A 22338-nucleotide genomic window follows, 5' to 3' on the forward strand; every position below is an offset into this window, starting at 1 on the left:
CCGCGCGCAACCCCGGTTCCCGCTCGCGCCTCTCCGTCCACGCCTCCCAGCAAGCTGAGGGAGCCGGCTCCGGCCTTGGCCAGCCCAGAAAGGGGCTACCACAGTGTAGCGGTGGGCTGAAGGGCTCCTCAAGTGCCGCCAAAGTGGGAGCCCAGGCAGAGAAGGCGCCGAGCGAGCGAGGGCTGTGAGGACTGCCAGCACGCTGTCACCTCTCAACAGATTGAAGCGATTTTCCTGCCTCAGCCTCCTGAGTAGCTAATTTTTGTATTTTTAGTAGAAACCGAGTTTCGCCATGTTAGCCAGGCTGGTCTCCAACTCCTGACCTCAGGTGATTTGCCTGCCTCGGCCTCTCAAGGTGCTGGGATTATAGGTGTGAACCACTGTGCCCGGACAGACTAGTATTCTAAAAAAATAAGATTGCTGTTTAGAGGAAGTGTGGTCTATTAGCATGATTTTTTTTCCCAACAGTCTAGTAGCTTAAGATATTAAATAGCTCATTCCTTGCTCAGGAGCACAAAGCCTCCTCAGATCTTTAGCAAGAATGGTTACCGTTTTATGGCATAACAACTGTATATTATGCTTTGTGTTAGGTCCAACACATAAATTGACTCCAGTCCTTACAACAGACACTCAAATTAGCTGACGCTGTCCCTAGCTCTCAAATAAAAAAATAAAGTTGAGAGATGTTTAACCTTTGCCCAGAGCTAGGCAGCTAGCCAGCATCTGCTCCAAAGCCCAGGCTCCTTCCTGAAGTCCTAGAGGGACAAATTCCACTGTGAGGGCTCAGCGCTCTTTATTTCCGACTGCGAGGAACCTCCTGCACAAGCTCAACATCCAGGGCCATCTTGAAGGGAGCTGAACTCAGAAGGCCAAGCATGCGATGGCAATGTCTCATCTGATGACCAGTGGGGCAAAGGCTGCCTGCCTTACTGGTGCTGCAGAGACCTTAGGTCTCCCTCTCTCTCCCAGGCTGGAGTATAGTGGCGTGATCTTGAGAGGTGACAACGTGCTAACAGCCCTCACTCGCTCTCAGTGCCTTCTCGGCCTCGGCGTCCACTCTGGCAGCGCTCGAGGAGCCCTTCAGCCCACCGCTGCGCTGTGGGCGCTCCTCTCTGGGGCTAGCCGACACCGGATCCGGCTCCCTTTGCTTGGGAGGAGGTATGGAGAGAGAGACGCCAGCGGGAACCGCGGCTGCGGGCGGCGCTTGTGAGCCGGCACCTACTGGGTTTGATCAGAGGCTGGGTCCTGCGTGGATCTCCGTTCTCTCTTCACGGGGTCGCTAGCCACAATGGAGAGTCTCCGTCTGTTTCTCCTTTCTTTTCTTTCCCTCTTGGTTGTCTGGGACGAGCTCTCAGCTGCTGGAGTGCCTGGACTAGGTGCCGCAAAGCTCCCTGGTGAGTACCAAAAAAAAGTGAAGCCAGCTGGGTTGGGATGGGTGGGGACACGAAGAATTTTTCAGTGTAGCTAAAGGATTGTAAATGCACCAATCAGCACTCTGTGTCTAGCTAAAGGTTTGTAAACTCACCAATCAGTGCTCTGTGTCTAGCTAATCGGGTGAAGACTTGGAGAACTTTTGTGTCTAGCTAAAGGATTGTAAACGCACCAGTCAGCACTCTGGGTGTAGCTAAAGGTTTGTAAACACACCAATCAGCACTCTGTTAAAAATGGACCAATCGGCTCTCTGTAAAACAGACCAATCAGCTCTCTGTAAAATGGACCAATGAGCAGGATATGGGTGGGGCCAGATAAGGGAATAAAAGCAGGCCACCCGACTCTAGGATGGGAAAAACCACTGGGATACTGTTAGGCGGGTGGTGGAGGTTTCATCGTGTTGGTTTATTGTGTTTTTGGTCCGTGAGATTTGCGAGTTGTAACGTTTACTGGAAAGGTTTGTGGCTTGGGTTTTAAAGCTAGAAGATTATGAATTTGCTGGGAGAGAAAAAACTTTGGGCAGGTGGGCGTCAACAATTTAGGGTACGTCCATTTTCGAGTTGAAGCAATCACTGTGGAGGTCTGTAGCTTCACTCATGGAGGCTAGAACAGACTACAAACCCCCTGGGAAAAATAAACTTCACACGTGACACTTTCAAGGGTTGTACCACCGTGGAGATTTGTAGTTAAGTGATTACATGAACTTACCAGAAAGGAAAAAGTCTAGGCACACCATCGTTTAGAACTGTAACTCTCACCATGAGGGTCTGTGGCTTCATTCTTTAAGTCGACAGGACCGAGAACCTGCTAATTCCAGACACGATCTGGGCGTGCTGCTGTTCTCTTCTTAGTTTAAGCAATTATCTGCCTCAGTAAGTAGCTGGGTTTAGAGGCATGTGTCACCACAACTGGCTGGCTTTTGTATCTGTGGTAGAGATGGGGTTTGACCATGTTAGCTAAGCTGGTCTTGAACTCCTGACCTCAAGTGATCCACTCAACTCGGGCTTCTGAGTTATGACTACAGGCATGAGCCACTGCCTAGCCACTCCCCCCTCTTTTCTTTCACATCTAGTGGTGTATTTCTTTCCTCATTAGCTAAGGAGAGGCCTTTGGGCTCACCACAGCTGCTGGGCAAAGGGAAGTAGGCAGAGAGCGATTCGCTATGCAGAGTGGGTCAGTGAAGAGGCCACATTAGACCATGTCCATTCATAGAGGCAACTTCAACTCAGGACTACTCTAGCAATTGGATTCTGGTGAACCACAACCCTCTACCCAGGTGCTGTCCTCACATCCTAGAGCAACTTGTTCTCTCCAAACCAAACACACCACGTCTTTCAAGAAGCCTTCCCGGCTACACAAGGCCCCAGGGCGCTCACTGGCGTTTTAGGGAGTCCCTTCCACATATACAATTCAATTTAATCTTTACCAGGTGCCAGTAAGTGCTGTGCGCTTTCTTCAGAGGAGGAAACCGAAATTTGGAGAGGTCGAGTGGTTCACAGAAGGCTAAAACAGAGATTGAAAGTCGGGTTTTGTTTTGTACCCATCCCGTGGCCCTATGACCTAACTCTCCCTTCTCTTACCCCCGCAGCTCCCTGTGTGACTGTATCTTTGAATTGTCATAAAATCCTGTAATCATTGATTTGCATGACTCTCTGACTAGATGGTGAAAATTGGAAGCGTCTCCTTTGATTTTATATCCCAATCCTTAAAGTCCTTGATAAATAGCACATGCTAGAAAAGGCTCCTGAAAGAACAAAAGGAAGAGCCATACCTATAATCCTGCATCTCTCTTAGCTGAACGTTAGGGACCATGCGATCTCTCCTGCCCTCCGTTTCTATATTTGTAAAAAGCATAGAAAAATGCTTCCCATTTCATGAGGCTGTTGTCTTAGTCCATGTTGCTATGAAAAAAATACCATAGACTGGGTGCTTTAACAAACGTTTATTTCTCACGGTTCTGGAGACTGAAAGACCAAGATCAAGGTGCTGGCAGATTTGATGTCTGGTGAGGGCTCTCTTCCTGGTCTGAGGATGGCCACCTTTTTGCCAAATCTTCACAGAGGAGAGAGAATGTTCTAGTGTCTCTTTGTCTTCTTAATCCTATGATGGGGGCTCCACTCTCATGACCTAATGTAAACCTAATGACCTCCCAAAGACCTCATTTCCAAATACTATCATATTGGGAGTAGGGCTTCAATATATGAATTTGGAGGGGAACACACAGTTGTTATAAAAATTAAATGGATTAAAATATGTTAAGCACTGGAGCAATACCTGGTACACGGTGAAATTAGCCAAGTCACCTCAGCAGCTTACAGGCAAAGCCCCTGTGGGAATACAAAGGAAAGAATTCTCCCCTTTCTTGGATGCACACTGGACGTCAGATGCTGTGATTTACATGTGATCACCACTCGAACACTGTGTAGTAGTACCACTGTGGTATTACCAGTTCTATTACCTGTGTTTTATGGATGAGAAAGCAGAGGCTTCTAGAGGTGAGGAGACTCACCCAAAGCCACCCAGCTAATCAGTTGTGCAGCTGGGATGTGAACCCAGCTGTGTCTGCCTTCGAGCCCCGTGCTCTTAAACAACGGGCCCTAGGAAGGCTGACTAGGGGCACTGGGGATGGCTTCAAGGGTGAGAGAGTATTTGAGACAAATTTTGAAAATGAGTAAAAATTTTTAAGAGTGGAAATGTCTGCAGCCCTGATTTGGGCCCTTGATGTTCAGTACTGTGGTTTGGGCTCATTGCTTTGGCTGTGTCAGGGTTTCTCAGCCTCAACGCTTCACATTTGTCATGGAGGGCTGTCCTGCAGATCGCAGGATGTTTAACAGCATCCTTGGCCTCTACCCCCAGGCGCCAGTGGCATGCCACCCCTGCCACCAAAAATGTCTCCAAATTTTCCTCCTATGTGGGGCAGAACCCCCCGTGGCTGAGAACCACGGGGCTGTGTGTATATGTGGTCTCTAGAGCTCAGTTGTCAGCAGCAGGAAGCCCAGGAGTATAATGTGCCTTTTTGTTTTCTCCAAATTGGCTAATAACCCAATTCCAGAAACAGACATTGCTCCATTAAATACTTGTTGAAATGGATTAAGTTGTCATCATAGCCACCTCACACCTTTTAAAGTACCTCCTGTTTGTCCTTCAGCTCTCACCTCCAAGGTGCCCTCTTTAGAGATGCTTTCCCCAAATATGGACTGGCCAGGCACTCTTTTGTTACCTTCAGTGAAGAAGTGCTGCTGTATTATCTAGTTAGTTCCTCAAGCGCCAGGGCATGGTAGTGGAGTGGCACGCTTAGATAAGCCCTATACAGTATTCTAATTAAGGAAATGAAGGCTCAAGAGCCAATGCAGTATGTTCAAGATCACACAATAAATAAGGGACAGACTAAAGCCCAAGTCACATGATAGTGGAGGAATCCCCTGGAGGGACAGGAGAGAGGATGCTGAGCAGAGCATCGAGTGGGTTGACATTTGGGGCAGGGTGTCTGTCACAGAAGAACACTGGATTTAAGGTGGGAACTCTATCAGAAACCAGGGGCCAACATGGCAGAGGTAAGAGTAATGAGCATGATACCCCAAGAACACACTCGATCCCAACCTCAGCACAGGACTAACTAGGATGAAGGATTACACCCCATGGATAAGCCAGCTGGTGGGTCTGAGGATGCTAATGAACTTCTAGCCCAGGCTTAAGGGGTGCTGAGCTACAGGAGAGGAAAAGAGAATCTGGGTGAGGCTGAATTTGCCCCTTATGTGGGCCCCCATGAGCTGGTTTCCCAGTGTGCCACAGTCACTGGCCTCACTTGGGCAGACGTCAGTCATTCATTCAGGTACTCACATGGGTAATGGGCACCTACGGTCATCCTAGGTTCTATGATAGGCACAGAAGATAAAAGGTGCACACAACAGAGGGGGTCCCTATCTCTCAACCCTAATCTAATTATCACACAAATAAATGTTTAATTATGAACTGTGACAGGTGGTGGGAAGGAAAGGCATAGCATGCCATGAGAACGTGGAACATTGCCTAGTCTGAGGGTAGGGGAAGTTTTCCCCAAGAAGGGGTAATTGAGTCAAGACCTGGAGAGTGACCGGGAGGTGGCTGTGTTAGAGTGTATGTTGTAGGTGGCCGTGGATGGCTCCAGGCCAAAGCGTGCAAAGACTGAGGCAGAACCGAATGCAGGGCCACAGCACACACAGTTAGTCAACATGTTGGAAACAGAAAACAAAGCTAATGCTCCATCCATTGTTCTAAATGGTGACAGCACCCTCTCCTAAAAGGACCAAAATAATGTACTACCTTAAAAAGAGAGGCAGGCTGCCTTCATAGACAGGACTTCCCCAGGACGGTGGAATCTTGGTGGGGTTGTCAGTCCAGAGTTTGATTTGAGAACGTCCAAAAATCCAGTTTTTCCAGTTCATCTGATCAGTTAGATTCAGAGGATTGACTCACACTGACCAAAGTCACAGAAAACAGATGTATAAATCAAAATGCCTATGTATAGTTTTGACACAGGAAATACGACTGCCTAGCAGATTGAAATATTCAGGTCTGTTGGTGAATGCATTCCTTTCCCTATGAAGCAATCTGTAGGGGAATGCAAATGATGATCAAAAGGTTAATGTGTGAGTAAAGAATTGGAACAAGGGCTACTGGTCAAATAATCCAGCTATGGTCATTTTGATGTACCATTCTCCACTAGAGGTAAGCATATGTCTGAACCCCAAATCAGAACACACGGCTTGACAAACAAATTTAGCCTGATTTATGAGTGTCATTCATGCATTTAACTGTCATTATTGGGCCTTTTCTAACAAGTATAAATAATTAATATTTTGTTATATATTGAATAAACCACTATTATTAGAAAGAGTAAAATAACATGAAAAACACAATGTTCAGCAAAATATATATTTAATATTTGTGCCATCATTTGTATCCAACATTTATCTGTCCAAGTTGATACTTTGATTTTCTTTTAGTACTTATTTTCTAGCAGTGCTCAGTTTTCTCAATTATTATTTCTTTATTTCTTCTCTCTCTCTTTTTTTTTCTTTCTTTTTTTTTATTTTATTAGATGGAGTTTCACTCTTGTTGCCCAGGTCGGAGCGCAATGGCGCAATCTCAGCTCACTGCAACCTCCGCCTCCCGGGTTCAAGCAATTCTCTTGCCTCAGCCTCCTGAGTAGCTGGGATTACAGGCATGCACCTCCACCCAGCTAATTTTGTATTTTTAGTAGAAATGGGGTTTTTCCATGTTGGTCAGACTGGTCTCGAACTCCTGACCTCAGGTGATCCGCCCACCTTGGCCTCCCAAAGTTCTGGGATTGCAGGTGTGAGCCACCATGACTGGCCCTCTTCTCTTAGTAAAATGAAAAAACGCTTAAGAAGTCTTTGATTGGGCACTGTGGCTCATGCCTGTAATCCTAGCACTTTGGGAGGCAGAGGCAGGAGGATTACTTGAGTCCAGGAGTTTGAGGCCAGCCTCGGCAACACATCGAGAACCTATCTCTACAAAAAATAAAGAATTAGCCAAGCATGGTGGCACACTCCTGTATCCCAGCTACCTCGGGAGGCTGAGGCAAGAGGATCACTTGAGCTCCGGAGTTCAAGGCTGCAGTGTGCCATGATTGCAGCACTGCACTCAGCCTGAGCAACAGAGTAAGACCCTGAATAAAAAAAGAAAAGTCGGCCCGGTGCGGTGGCTCATGCCTGTAATCCCAGCACTTTGGGAGGCCGAGAGGGCCGGATCACGAGGTCAGGAGATCAAGACCATCCTGGCTAACATGGTGAAACCCCATTTCCACTAAAAATACAAAAAATTAGCCGGAAGTGGTGGTGGGCGCCTGTAGTCCCAGCCACTTGGGAAGCTGAGGCAGGAGAATGGCGTGAATCCGGGAGGCAGAGCTTGCAGTGAGCCGAGATTGTGCGACTGCACTCCAGCCTGGGCAACAGGGTGAGACTCCGTCTCAAAAAAAAAAAAATTTTTTTTTGAGCAATTTACTAAGTTTCAAAGAGCTATTTACAGTTTCACTGGTGATGGAAGACATTTGCAATCCTCAGCACTGTCCATCAGACCTAGAAGCAATGACAATTCAGCAGCAATGAGCAACTCTAGCACCAGATATGATTTCTAAATACTACTTCTTACTAAAAAGACACCAGGGACCCTTGGGAAAACATCTGAGTCATGATCTGGGACAGGAGTTTTTCGATATAAGGCTAGAACATCTTATTGTGCCCCAAAGCAAAGGCACTGTGAAAGAATCCTGGGATGATGGCAAAAGAATGCAGAGGCTAACTTGAAGGGGTTCTCTCTGGCCATAGTTGAGTCAGTTTTATGGAAAAAGATAATAGAGTGAAACCATCAAGTATCTAAAAATCCAATAGTTCACATAATGATAATTTAAAAACAAATCCATGGTCACCTATGGAGATTGTAAGGGCACCAACTGCTGACAGGCTGATAAATAAAAGGAAAGGATTTTATCCTGCCTTTTTCTGTATAAACTGTATTTCAGTATAACTGAGTAGTTGATATGAGAAATTTCTTCTTTATAGAAGGATCACAGCTAAGAAAAAGAAATGACAGAACTAGAAAATTATCATTTTCAAGTCCTTATTGAATTAATGGATTCTGGCAATGAACTGCAATGGCTGCAAAAACCATTAGATAATAGGTTGATGAGGATCTTTATTATGGATGGATCAGGCTGAGAACACCTAGCACTAACCCATCAGCTTAAACCTGTAAAGGTAGAAAAATCAGACATCATATTTTTCCTGATATGTTACAATCAGAATGAATACCAAACCACCTTTAAGTCTTACCAAAATGAACCTAAATCAAACCAAGGTCTATCTATCTGTTCATAAGAAATACAGGGATAGAGAAACAAGTTAAATGACACCAGGAGAATACAACCAGTGAAATCTGGAATGTGGGAATTTCTGTAGGACAAGTGACCCAGTTTCTCTGATGAATGAATGGCATAAAAAGGGCGTGATAGTGGGGGAATGTAAAAGACTTAAGAAGCATATTGTATTGGTTTGGCTGCCATAATAAAATACAACAGACTGGGTGGCTTAAACAACAACAATTTATTTCTCACAGTTCTGGAGACTAGAAGTCTGAGCTCAATGTGACAGCAGGGTTGGGTTCAGGTGAGGGCTCTCCTTCTGGCTTATAGACGGCTGCCTTCTCATGTGTGCTCACATGGCCTTTCCTCAGCGCATGCTCGTGGACAGAGCAAGATCTCTCTCTCTTCCTCTTATAAGGCCACCAATCCTATGGGATTAAGACCCTTATGACCTCATTTTGACCTTAATTGCCTTCTAAAAGCCCTATCTCCAAATATAGTCATGTTAGAGGTTAGGACTTCAACATATGAATTTAGCGGGGACACAATTCAGTCCATAGCATGTATCAGCCATATGCCATGTATGGACCTTGTTTGAATCCCACTTGTAAGAAACCAACTGTAAAAAGACATTTATGGGACAATCAGGGAAATTGTCTTTGTTGTTGTTGTTGTTTGAGATAGGCTCTCATCTGTCACCCAGGCTGGAGGGTAGTGGTGTAATCATGGCTCACAGCAGTCTCAAACTCCTGGGCTCAAGTGATCCTCCTACCTCACCCTCCCAAGTTGCTGGAATTATAGGTACACACCATCAGTCCTGGCTAATTTCTTTTTTTTTTTTCTTTGTAGAAAGGCGTTCTCCCTGTGTTGCCAAGGCTAGTCTAAAACTCTTGGGCTCAAGTGATTCTCCTGCCTTAGCCTCCCAAAGTGCTGGTATTACAGGTGTGAGCCACTACACCTAGCCTCATCAGGGAAATGGTAACATCACCTATTGGATACTAGATGATAGTAAGGAATCATTAATTTTTTGTAGATCTAACAAAGATGTGGTTGCTTTCTTAAAATTCCTTATCTCTTAGAGATACATACAGAAGTATTTACCTTTGAAATTATATAAAGCCTGGGATTTGTTTTAAAATGACATATTAGCGGTAGGAGTAGAGGTTGGAAAGGAGATATAGATGAAACTAGATCATCCATCTATCAATAACTATTGAAGGCCAGGCACTGTGGCTTACATCTCTAATCCTATCACTTTGGGAGGCCGAGGTGGGAGGATCACTTGAGCCCAGGAGTTCGAGACCAGCCTGGTCAACAAAGTGATATCCAATCTCTAAAAAATATATATATAAAAAATTAGCTGGGCATGGTGGCTCACACCTGTAGTCCCAGCTACTTGGGAGGCTGAGCTGGGAGGATTGCTTGAGCCCTGGGAAGTCAAGGCTGCAGTGAGCTGTGATTGCACCACTGCACTCTAGCCTGGGCAACAGAATGAGAACCTGTCTCAAAAAAACAAAACAAAACAAAACAAAAAAAAACAATGAATTTCTATGTGCACCAGAAGACTAAGGCCACCTTTCCTTGCCTAACACAGCCATGGCTTATGGTCCCAAGAAGCATCTAAAGCAGGTAGCAGCTCCAAAGCATTGGATGCTGGATAAATTGACCAGTGTGTTTGCTCTTCGTCCATCCACCAGTCCCCACAAGTTGAGAGAGTGTCTCCCCCTCATCACTTTCCTAAGGAACAGACTTAAGTATGTCCTGACAGGAGATGAAGAAGAGTTGCATGCAGCAGTTCATTAAGATCGATGGCAAGGTCCGAACTGACAAAACCTACCCTGCTGGATTCATGGATGTCATCAGCATTGACAAGATGGGAGAGAATTTTTGTCTGATCTATGACACCAAGGGTCACTTTGCTGTACATTGTATTACACCTGAGGAAGCCAAGTACAAGTTGTGCAAAGTGAGAAAAATCTTTGTGGGCACAAAAGGAATCCCTCATGTGGTGACTCATGATGCTCACACCATCTGCTACCCTGATCCCCTCATCAAGGTGAATGATACCATTCGTATTGATTTGGAGACTGGCAAGATTACTTGATTTCATCAAGTTACACTGGTAACCTGTGTATGGTGACTGAAGGTGCTAACCTGTGAAGAATTGGTGTGATCACCAACAGAGAGAGGCACCCTGGATCTTTTGACGTGTTTCACATGAAAGATGCCAATGGCCACAGCTTTGCCACTCAACTTTCCAACATTTTTGTTATTGGCAAGGGCAACAAACCATGGATTTCTCTTCCCTGAGGAAAGGGTATCCGCCTCACCATTGCTGAAGAGAGAGACAAGAGACTGGTGGCCAAACAGAGCACTGGGTGAAATGGTCCCTGCGTGACATGTCAGATCTTTGTACGTAATTAAAAATAATGTGGCATGATTAATAGAAAAAAAAACAATTGAAACTGGGTTATGGGCACTTGGGGCTCTACTTCACTATTCTCTCTACATTTGTATATGTTTGAAATTTTTCATTATAGTAAAAAATCTTTTTAATGCAAGAAGGAGTGGAAGGGAGAAATACTCAAGAAGTATTTCGACCATACACAATGTATAGCTCTTGTTAAACCCCAATTAAAGCACACCAATTGATAAAAAGACTTTTTGAACAAATGTAACAAATTGACCGTGATCTGTGTTGGATGATATTATAAGTTACTGTTAATTTTGTTAGGTATAATTGTGCATGGGTCTTTTTTTTTTTTTTTGAGGCCCTGTCTGTTAGAGATACGTATCAAAGCATTTAAAAGCATTTATATATGCTGGGATTTGCTTTAAAATACTGGAAAACACACACACACACACACACACACACACACACACCCCGAAACAAGGAGGATAGATGAAACGTGATTGGCAGAATGTTGATAATTGTTAAAATTGGTCAACAGATTGGTGGAGTTTCATTACATTATCATCTGAAATTTTCTATCATAAACCACTTAAAATAAATATTCATGAGACCATCATGTTCCAACCCAACAATGACAGGAAGAATTCATACATCCTCTTCCAAGTATCCTTGGAAGATTAATGTTTTCATGATAAAAATTTTAAAATACTTTTGTACAGCTCTGATTCGTAGCTTCCTTTTTCCTAGTCAGCAAGCAATTTCGCATTAGGATATGACTCAAGGACATACGGTTCATTGCAATGATCATCAAATCACATAGTGGGAAGAACACTGTAAAAAAAAAAAAAAATTCCCTTCCTACGGCAGAGTGTGCCATTCAGTTTTCTGCAACTGAAACCCTGTTTTGAGATTTGCCTTCCAAAGACCTTGATAGTGTACCACATTGTCATATGCATCCTGTAACAAAAGAGAAAAATATATTGGGCCAGGCACGGTGGCTCATGCCTGTAATCCCAACACTTTAGGAGGCCGAGGAGGGTGGATCACCTGAGGTAGGAGGTCAGGAGTTCGAGACTAGCCTGACCAACATGGTGAAATCCCGTCTCTACTAAAAATACAAAAAAATTAGCCAGGCATGGTGGCACATGCCTGTAATCCCAGCTACTTGGGAGGCTGAGGCAGGAGAATCACTTGAACCTGGGAGGCAGAGGTTGCAGTGAGCCGAGATTGTGCCATTGCACTCCAGCCTGGGCAACAAGAGTGAATCTCCATCTAAAAAAACAAAACGAAACAAACAAAAAAAATCTATCTATCTATATCTATCTATCATCTATCTATCTATCTGTATATAAAACGACCAGAACCAAAGTTGTTATTTTGGATCTTTGATTTTTTTTTCCTTGAGAATAATGGAAGCCTTTTTATCTAATAATAAATGCACTCTTGAAGGTTGAAGCATTTTAATTATTTTTAATTATTTATTTTCATTATTTTAAGCATAGGCATTTTCAGGAATCTCATAGTCCATATGGAAATATGCAAATGAAAAAATCATTTAAAAATTTCACTCCAGCCAGGGCTGGGTCAGAGAGCATGTTGAAGTGGACAGAAAGAGTCGCTCATCTGCCTGGTGCCCCTGATAATTCATAGGTGGTGCTCAGTGGGCTTGAAAGACGGGACTAAGCAGAATTGTTTCTAAGTGGAAGTGGGAATCAGGGTGCGTGAATTTTTTGGTAGAGAACCTCTGGGCTCCCTGATTTAACATTTCAGTCCGCTATTCCACTCCTCCAACTGCCTTCTGTTCTGAGAGGTGTGGGCTGAGCCCGGCGAGAGCCCAGGTCCCATGTCAACTCATCTGGGCTGCAGGAAAAGGCTGCCTGTGCTCTGGGCCCTCCAGACTTGACAGCTGCGACCCTGAGCCGGTGTTTGACAAACAGACCAGGCAGATGCCACACAGTGCCCTGCAGTGTCTCTACCAAGTGACACAAAAAACTAAACCATTCTAGGAAGGAGGAGCAGGTCAGTCAGTCAGCTTCTAAAAATACCCAAATAGGAGCATAGAAACATCCCATCACCCCATGTCAATCAAGAGAAAGTCACAGAAGAATATGTTTGCCAGAAAAAAAAAAAAAAAGGCAGCAGGAGCTGGTAGGAGAGCCCCGAGATGAAGAAAACTTGTATGAGGGTCATTTAAATGCTGGTAGGATGGCCTTTAGAGGCAGCTGCTTGGAGAGTCTCATAAATGGCCTTTGGGTAGTGGTAGCATTTGCATCAGGCCACAAGGCCCTGCCGCTAGCTGGCCAGGCTCAGGGAGGACTGCGGGCTCTGAGCGTGCTATGGGCCTCAGGCCATGCTGTGGAAAGTCAGCAAGATCACAGAGGAGCTGAGCCAGCAGGATTTTCCAGAAATCACCTAGGGCAAGAAGAACAGAGCAAATTATATGTGGGTGGTTGGAGCCCAGAACCGGAAACTGTAACAGCAAACTTTTTTCTGCACCTCTGTACCAAAAACAGCCGGAGATGTGGACAAGGACCACTTTTGGGAGTGGGGAGCACGATCTATTTAAGCAGCATCCCATATACTGGCTCCTGTAGAGGGAGGCCCACTTAAGAGGAAATGTAAACACAAACATCCTGGGACAGCCTTAGGTGCCCATGCAGTCTAGTGTCGCACTCCCAGGCTGGGCCCTTCAGATAAGCAGTGGTGGTCTCTGTAGCCCCTCAACTCTCCGTCCATTCCAGCCCAGTTGCACTGTCTCTTTTCTCATGGCTGAATATTCCAGTTTAGCCTGAAGTTGCCTCCTTACATAGTTTACATTCAGCTTAAAGGTGTCTCCATACACAGTGAACTGTAACCCAACTAGAGGTATAAACAGATTGTAAATTACTCTAGGAACAAGTAGTGGAGTCTCAGCCAATCACAACAAGCAGCCAGCTGTTCACACCATGTGCAAATAAGGCAGAAGCCAGGCGGTAACCAATCTGGCTGTTTCAGTAGTCACTGTCCCTTTCATTTTTCTGTCCCTAAATCCTCTCCAACCATGCGGAATTGCCAGTTTCTCTAAACCTTTTCTGATTTCGGAGGCTGCCCGATTTGCAAATCACTCTTTGCTTAATTAAACTCTATTAAATTCACCTTGTCTAAAGTTTTTCTTTTCTTTTTTTTTGAGACGGAGTCTTGCTCTGTTGCCCAGGCTGGAGTGCAGTGGCGCAATCTCTGCTCACTGCAACCTCCACCTCCTGGGCACGAGCGATTCTCCTGCCTCAGCCTCCTGAGTAGCTGGGATTACAGGTGCCCACCACCATGCCCGGCTAATGTGGTGGCTCACGTCTCTAACCCCAACACTTTGGGAGGCTGAGGTGGGTGGATCATTTGAGGTCAGGAGTTCAAAACCAGCCTGGCCAACATGGCGCAAGTTTTAACACAGGTCTTCCCCTGCCTTATCCTTCCTTGTCACCCAGGTTTCTAGACATGCCTGCCTCCTAGCCAGGGAGTGCTGGCCTCAGGCTTCTGAAGAGCATCATGCTTCCAGAAAGCTGAAAAATAAATTATACCTCCCTGACACATGCTCACTCCTCCTGCATCACCATGACAAATTCCCTCCAAAATCACCACACTGCCTTTTCTCTTCTCTTCCCCGGATAAAACTACATTCCCCATAATGATTAGACGAGAAACAAACACCCATTTTTCCTTTAGGAAACCCTCCTAACTTATGAACCAGAGCAAAGACCCATGCAGGACAAAAAGGAATCTTCTACAATGTGTAGATCAGATGATCTTCAGTTTGTACTTCATATTTGTGGTTTAGAATTTACAAAGACCAGCTAGGCATGGTGGCTCACACCTATAATTCCAGCACTTTGGGAGGCTGAGGCAGGCAGATCACTTGAGGACAGGGGTTCAACACCAGCCTGTCCAACATGGTGAAACCCCGTCTCTACTAAAAGTACAAAAATTAGCCAGGCGTGGTGGCGGATGCCTGTAATCCTAGCTACTCGGGAGGCTGAGGCAAGAGAATCACTTGAACCCAGTAAGCTGAGATCGTGCTACTGCACTCCAGCCTGGGCGTTGGAGTGAGACCCTGTCTCAAAACAAAACAAATATTTACAAAGACCTTTCCTACACATGATCACATTTTGGTCTGACAACCACTAAGTGAGACAAGCATTACTAATCCCATGTAGATGTTTAGACTCGAAGAGTTTAAGAGTTTAAGTAATAGTTCCAAGGTCACCCATCTACTCAATGGCAGAGCTGGGATTCTAACCTTATCATATAATTCTGAGTAAAACCCTTCCTCCAATAAAATAATAATAAGAACTACCTGTTTTGAGCATTTACTATGTGCCATGCCCTATGCTATGTACTTTACACACTTAAATTTAGTTAACCCTCAGGAAAACCCTATAAGATAAGGTTGTGCTATTATGATGCCCATCTTAGGGATGAGGAAAACTGAGGCACAAGGAGGTTAAGCAATTGCTGAGGTCATGCAGCCATACCACTCTATCCTATAGCTTCCTAAATTTTTGCTAGTCCTACTTCACTGCAAACCGCAAACTCAGGCTAGGAAACAAAATAATAAGCACCCCTATAGAAAATTTGGAAAGTACAGAGTCAACAGTTAAGACCCTGGCAAGAGGGGCTCATTTGCAAGCTCAGACCTAAAACAGCAAGCTGCAGGTGTTGGCTACTAAATCCGTGTAAACAGGCATCACCAACTTATTTTAAGCCTCAGTGAAAAGGTTAGTCACAGTATCAGCCAGAGCCGGGCAGGAAACAGATGGCACACTCCAAATTGCTTAACTGAAAAAAAAAAAAAAAATGTAATGAGGGGACTATTTACGGAAGTGCAGGCAGGATGAAAGGACTGACTCTACCAGGGGCGGTGTGGCACCAGGGGCGGTGTGGCACCAGAGAAAACAAACGCTGGGAGTGGTTACCCCCCTAGCACTGCAGGGGCAAAGGGACAGAATATGGTACCGCAGCCCAGTGACCGCCAGAGCTGGGAGAGGGACTGCTTCCCAGGAGCTGTGGGACAAAGCCACTGCCAGGGCGGCCTTCCTCCCTTCCATCCCCGCCAGGTGCCCCCATTAGCCAGGAATGCCCAGAAGCTGTCAGGCAAAGAGCTTTGGTGAAGCTGTCCCTAGAGATGCATCTCCTGGGCCACACAGTCAGGGTAGAGAGAGGTGGAGAATGAATGGGGATGACCCCTCTCATCCTGACCCTGCCCACACAAGGGCTTTAGCCAAAGCCACACAGCATTTGAGCACTAGTTGCTTCAGCACCAATGTGCTCTGGCTCATGTTTTCTCTAAAAATGCAACTGTGGGCCGGGTGTGGTGGCTCACACCTCTAATCCCAGCACTTTGGGAGGCCGAGGTGGGCGGATCACCTGAGGTGAGGAGTATGAAACCAGCCTGACCAACATGTAGAAACCCCATCTCTACTAAAAATACAAAATTAGCTGGGCGTGGTGGCACATGCCTGTAATTCCAGCTACTCAGAAGGCTGAATCACTTGAACCCGGGAAGCAGAGGTTGCGGTGAGCCAAGATCACGCCATTGCACTCCAGCCTGGGCAACAAGAGCAAAACTCCATCTCAAAAAAAAAAAAGCAACTGTGTTAAGCACACCAAACATTAAAAGGAGCACCAATATCTTTTCCCAGAGGCTGTGCCGTCTTCCCTTTCTTGTGGCATTCAATCAGTGACTGCAGGGCCTTACTGCCTGGCCTCATATATTAAACAGGACTTCCTTCTTGGTTCCTCCACTTTGATAAAGAATGGGTTGGTTCCTCAAAAAATAATCATAGGACTGCCATATGATCCAGCATTCCTACTTCTGGGTATATATCCACAAAAAGTGAAATCAGCGTGTGGAAGAGATATCTGTACCTTTGTGTTCGTTGCAGCATTAGTCACGCAGTAGCCAAGATGTAGAAACAATCTAAGTGCCTATTAGCAGAGGGATGGTTAAACAAAATGGGACACACACACATTATATATATATATATGTATATATGTACATATATACGTATATACATATATATACGTACATATATATGTACATATATATGTGTATATACGTGTATATGTACATATATACACGTATATATGTATTCTTCATTGATAAAAAGGAGGAAATCCTGTTATTTATAACATAGATGAGAACATTATGCTAAATGAAATAAGCCAGACACAGAAAGACAAATATTGCATGACCTCACTTATTTGTGGAATCTAAAAATGTCAAACTCATAGTAGAATGGGGTTTGGGGGGCTGGGAAGTCAGGGGAAATGGGGACATGGTCAAAGGATACAAACCTGAGTTGTAAGAGGAATCAGTTCTGAGGCTCTAATGCACAGCCTGGTGGTTATATTTAATAATCGTGTATTATATACTTGAAATTTGCTAAGAGAGCAAATGGAGTGTTTTCATCACACAAGAAACGAAACAGTAACTATATAAGGTGACATTTGTGTTGATTAACTTGATGCTAGTAGTCATTTCAGAATATATATTTATATCAAATTACCGTGTTGTATGCCTTTAATTTCTATTTTTTATTTGTCAATTATATTTCAATAAAGCCAAGGGAAAGAAATCCCCTCCCCCAAAAGAAAGATGAGTTGAAGCAAGATCTGAGAGCTGTATTTCTCTTCTGCATCTGTCTTTTTACTTTTAGCTTCTCTCACTTTTCTTTTTTTTAAAAAAATGTAATTCAAGAGGAAGGCAGCAACAAAGAGCAAATCAATTTCCAGCCTGGCTGTGCTTACACAGTCCTGGAGCAGACAGTGTGTAGTTGTCAATGTAGGCAGAGGTGACAACTTCTGCACCAACACCTCTGATAGGGAGTTGTGTCTGCCTGCCAAGCATTTAGAGTGGGAAAGGAGGAAAGGAGAGGGCGGGAAACGCACGCACAGCTCAGGCTGTCACCATGGAAGGGGGAGAGGAAGGGCTTTCTCCTGATAATCAGGAAAACAGAGAGAGTAGAGGTAAGCAAGCTTGAAAACAAAAAGCAACCTCCAGGGCCCCAAAACAATACAGGCAATGCAGGGCCTGCTTATGGCCAAACCGTGAGGCCCGCAGCAACCTGGGGCGGCCCTCCCAGCCTGCTGGGCCATTTAGGAGACCCAGAATCTCAAAGCCCAGGTGACAACTGCTTTGTAATGTTTGGGCAGGCGAGGGAGCGGGGCTGACTGGAAGAGGAATTTATATATATAGTTAGCCATAAAAATGGGTTTTATTTAACTTGAATGGGATTGAGGAGGGAGGGCTTTCCTGCTTCCTGTATCACCTGTCAGTCAGCTTCATCTCCCAAGGCACCTTTAACATCAAAATCCTGATACTGTTTGACAAGAACTGCTCTCAAGTGAAGAACGATTTCACAAAATGCCAAATCAGGATGAGAGGCCCATATTTAAAGACTAGCGTGTCCCCAAAACACTGTAGTATGGGAAAAGGTGGGATGAGGAATTGTAAATGGCCAAATCCTTGTTTCTTAGCCTTGTCTTTGGGGTCCCACATGTTTTTCCTTACTCACTGTTTTCACAAAGCATCCATGGTAACAACCAGGGACTCAGTAGAGAGAGAAGTCAAAAGGATCACCGTAAAAATGCCCAGTGGGGTCATAGGTCTGGCCCGTTCCGCCTCTAGTTTCACTCTGCTAGTGGCACACTCTTCAACTTGGTTGCTCACTCAGGCCCCAAACCACAAAGTCATCTTGGATTCTTCCCTTTCCTCACCATTCCGCATCCAAGTCATCAGATTTGTCTTAAAAGTCAAATAAAAAATATTTATGGCCGGGTGTGTTGGCTCACGCCTATAATCCCAGCACTTTGGGAGGCTGAGGTGGGCAGATCACCTGAGGTCAGGAGTACAAGACCAGCCTGACCAACATGGTGAAATCCCGTCTCTACTAAAAATACAAAAATTAACTGAGTGTGGTGGCACACGCCTGTAGTCCCAGCTACTCGGGAGGCTGAGGCAGGAGAATCGCTTGAACCCGCGAGGCGGAGGTTGCAGTGAGCCAAGAACATGCCACTGTACTCCAGCCTGGGCGACAGAGTGAGACTGCATCTCAAAAAAAAAAAATTTACTGTGCAGCAACAATATGCCAAGCACAGTCAAGATACTGGGGGATTGCAGCCGGGCGCGGAGGCTCACACCTATAATCCCAGCACTTTGGGAGGCTGAGGCGGGCGGATCACCTGAGGTCGGGAGTTCAAGACCAGCCTGGCCACTATGGTGAAACCCTGTCTCTATTAAAAATACAAAAATTAGCTGAGCGTGGTGGTACGCACCTGTAATCCTAGCTACTCAGGAAGCTGAGGCAGGAGAATCACTTGAACCTGGGAGGCGGAGGTTGCAGTGAGCTGAGATCTCACCATTGCTCTCCAGCCTAGGGGACAAGAGTGAGACTTCGTCTCAAAAAAAAAAAAAAAGATACTGGGGGATTGCAGGCATGAAGGCCTCACAGTCAAAGAGTTTCCAATCTTATCAGAGGAGACAATAATAAGCACATAAATAAATAAAACTGCCTCAGATTGTATGTAAGCCTGCTCTTATCTGTTAGGTAAAAGAAACTGGCTTAATTCTAGCTATGGAAACGACTTACAAGGGGTTATGCTTAGTGGTTCAAAAATGTCAACAAGGACTGGAGTTCATTCCACCTCTCTTGTTTTGCTGTATCCTAAGATTAGAAGCAAGGTGGCTGCAGCAGCTCCAGGCATCCATTCAGGTATAACCAGGGCCAGAGGGAGAAGAGGCCTTTCCTTCCTGCGACTCCCCAAGGAGAGAGGGACTGTTCGCGAAAAGATCTCACAGACTTCTTTCATGTCTCCTTAACTAGAATTGGGTCACTTGCGCATCCCAGAACCAAAAACTGGCAGAGGGAATCAAATTAACTTTTGATCAAACAGGATGGAGTCTCTGCCCCAAGGAGGTATGTAGGAAGATGAAATCTGACTAGAATTAGGGTTCCTTTAAGGAGGAAGAAGAGGGAAACAAATTCTGGGTTGGCAGCCAACCGTATTGACAACACTAAGAGGGCATTTAAAAACCCAGTAGGGTAGTGAGACAGAGGGCTCGGGAAAGGCTGCCCTAGATCTTGTCCCCATTGCCACTGCCCGGGGCTATGGCAGGAGCCCCCTGGCTGGTCTTCCAGCTACTAGCCTGCTCTCTCCTGCTCTCTCTCACCCCCTGCACCCATTTTCCACACCCTCCCACTGGATCTGCCTAAAATGCAAATCTCCTCACGTTATTTTCTTGCTTAAAATGCTCCTGTAGCGTTACTTCATGTGGAATAAAAAGGCAAACTTTCTAGCAAGAGATGATAATTTAGTACTTCCCACATGCAGGGCACGATTCTAAGCACTGTCTACTGTGTTATTTAACTTACCTCTCAGAACAGCACTCCCATGGAAATCCTATTCTAGCCCCATTATACGAGAGGCAGTCGTGCACTGGGATGTTCATCTTGTCCGTGTGTGAGTTTCCTATTGCTGCTGTGACACATTACCACAAACCTAGTGATTTATTTATGTATTATTATTATTTGTTTGTTTGTTTGTTTGTTTGTTTGTTTTTGAGACAGAGTCTCACTCTGTAGCCCAGGCTGGAGTGCAGTGGCACGATCCTGGCTTGCTGCAACCTCTGCCTCCCAGGTTCAAGCTATTCTCCTGCCTCAGCCTCTGGAGTAGCTGGGATTACAAGTGTGCACCACCACACCCAGCTAATTTTTGTATTTTTAATAGAGACGGGGTTTTGCCGTGTTGGCCAAGCTGGTCTCGAACTCCTGGCCTCAAGTGTTCTGTCACCTCGGCCTCCCAAAATGCTGGGATTACAGATGTGAGCCACTGCACCCGGCCCAAACCTAGTGCTTTAAAATAACAAATTTGTTATCTTACTGTTCTGGAGTCAGAAGTCCACAGTCAAGTTTCCCCGAGCTAAAATGAAGGTGCCTGCAGGGCTGCATTCCTTCTGGAGGCTCTAGAGGCAAATCCATTTTCTTACCACTCCCACCTTCTAGGGCTGCCTGCATTCTCGCCACAAGGCTACAATCACTCCACCTATGATTCCATCATCCATTTCCTGCTCTCCTTTCTGACCTCCTGCCTCCTTTTTTTAAGGGCCATTGTGATTACATTAGCCTCGCTCAGATAATCCAGGATAATCTTCCCTTCTCAAGATCCTTAACTTAATCACATCTGCAAAACATCTTGTAACATAGTCACAAGATACAGAGATTAGGACGGCAGCATCTTTGGAGAGCCGTTATTCTGTCTTCCACTCCTCAGCTCATATGGCAAGAAAGGAGTGGAACCAAGCTTTGAACTCAGCCTCTGCAGGCTCTGCAGCTCCCAGAAGGAGCCATGGGAGTTGGCTTGCTGCACCCTCTCCCAACCTGGTTGTTTTGTCTTCCACCTGGAAAGCCTTTCTTGCATATCCCAGCTCCTCCCAGGGCTGATTCCCACTTGCCCTTAGGACTCAGCTCAAAGTGATCTCTTTTAGGAAGCCTGCCATGGTTATCCCTTTACCCTTCAGCTGGACTGTCTGTCTCTCCTCCAGGCTCCCAGGTCACCAGAGCTTCCTAACTTATAACTTATATTATATATCACTTATACCTAACTTCAAATGGGAATGGGCTTCCCACAGAGTGCCTAGAACTCAGGAAATACTGGTTAGTTGGTGGGTTGGTGGGTGGGTTGGTTGGTTGATTGGTTGGTTGGTTAGTTGGTTGGTTGGTTGAATGAATGAATGATTGAGCTGAGGGTAAGACATTTGAAAGGGGAGACATGATAACAGCTAATAGACATTAGGGAAGGATTTTTTGGCAATTGTCTTTTGAAAACTGTTCTAGGGTGGAGGTACATTTCAGGGTATAGAATGACTTGTACTTTCAGGAACCAAAAGGGATCCAGGTGGGGCCCCCAGTAAGGAACCAGTAAGTTGACATCTCAGGCTGCTCAGGCTGAGTTTTTCAACTCAATTACCAGGTGAGAAAGAAAGCAAGTTTAAGGGCAGGAGCTAGGTTTCAGAATAAAGAGTGAGTACCTGGTGGTGGTGTGTCTCTTGGGACAGGTGAGTGATAGACCAGGCACGATTTCAGAACCTAGAAAGACAAGCCGTTAGCCACTCCCCACCTTGGGAACTTTCAATTCATTAGAGCTTAGAGCTTGAAGCCTACATTACATACACACACATGCACGCATACACTCACGCATGCACACACATTGAAGCAAAAAGAAATTAAGTTCACTGCCACAATCATAGAAGTAGTCAGTGGCAGAACCAGGCTGTGAACCCAAACTGGCTGAGTTCAGCTCTGTATGCTTACCATTGCCTGTCACTGCCTGTCAAGCTGCCTGTCAAATACCAGTTGTATTCTGACCACACTGCCTGTCAAATACCAGTTGTGTTTTATTTTTTTATTTCAGATTCAGGAGGTACATGTGCTTGTTCATTACATGGGTATTACATGCATAATGGTGGGAGTTGGGTTTCTAGTGTCTTCATCACCCACATATTGGACATTTTACCCAGTAGGTAATTTTTCAACCCAGCCTCCCATCCCGTTGGAGTCCCCAGAGTCTATTTTCTCCATCTTTATGTTCATGTGTACCACCA

General features: G+C 45.3%; 1 pseudogene, besides 2 other annotated features; it reads left to right on the forward strand.

Moving 5' to 3' along the window:
- Window positions 2790–2859: an enhancer, noted in NCBI's record as "active region_24035". NCBI's record gives its function as "activates an Ori minimal core promoter by ATAC-STARR-seq in GM12878 lymphoblastoid cells {active_cell/tissue: GM12878}" and the evidence as "EXISTENCE:reporter gene assay evidence [ECO:0000049][PMID:35858748]".
- Window positions 9837–10740, forward strand: RPS4XP7 (ribosomal protein S4X pseudogene 7; annotated as a pseudogene).
- Window positions 15439–15558: an enhancer, noted in NCBI's record as "active region_24036". NCBI's record gives its function as "activates an Ori minimal core promoter by ATAC-STARR-seq in GM12878 lymphoblastoid cells {active_cell/tissue: GM12878}" and the evidence as "EXISTENCE:reporter gene assay evidence [ECO:0000049][PMID:35858748]".

This window comes from Homo sapiens, chromosome 6 (assembly GCF_000001405.40).
Source record: "Homo sapiens chromosome 6, GRCh38.p14 Primary Assembly".
Lineage (NCBI taxonomy): Eukaryota > Metazoa > Chordata > Mammalia > Primates > Hominidae > Homo > Homo sapiens.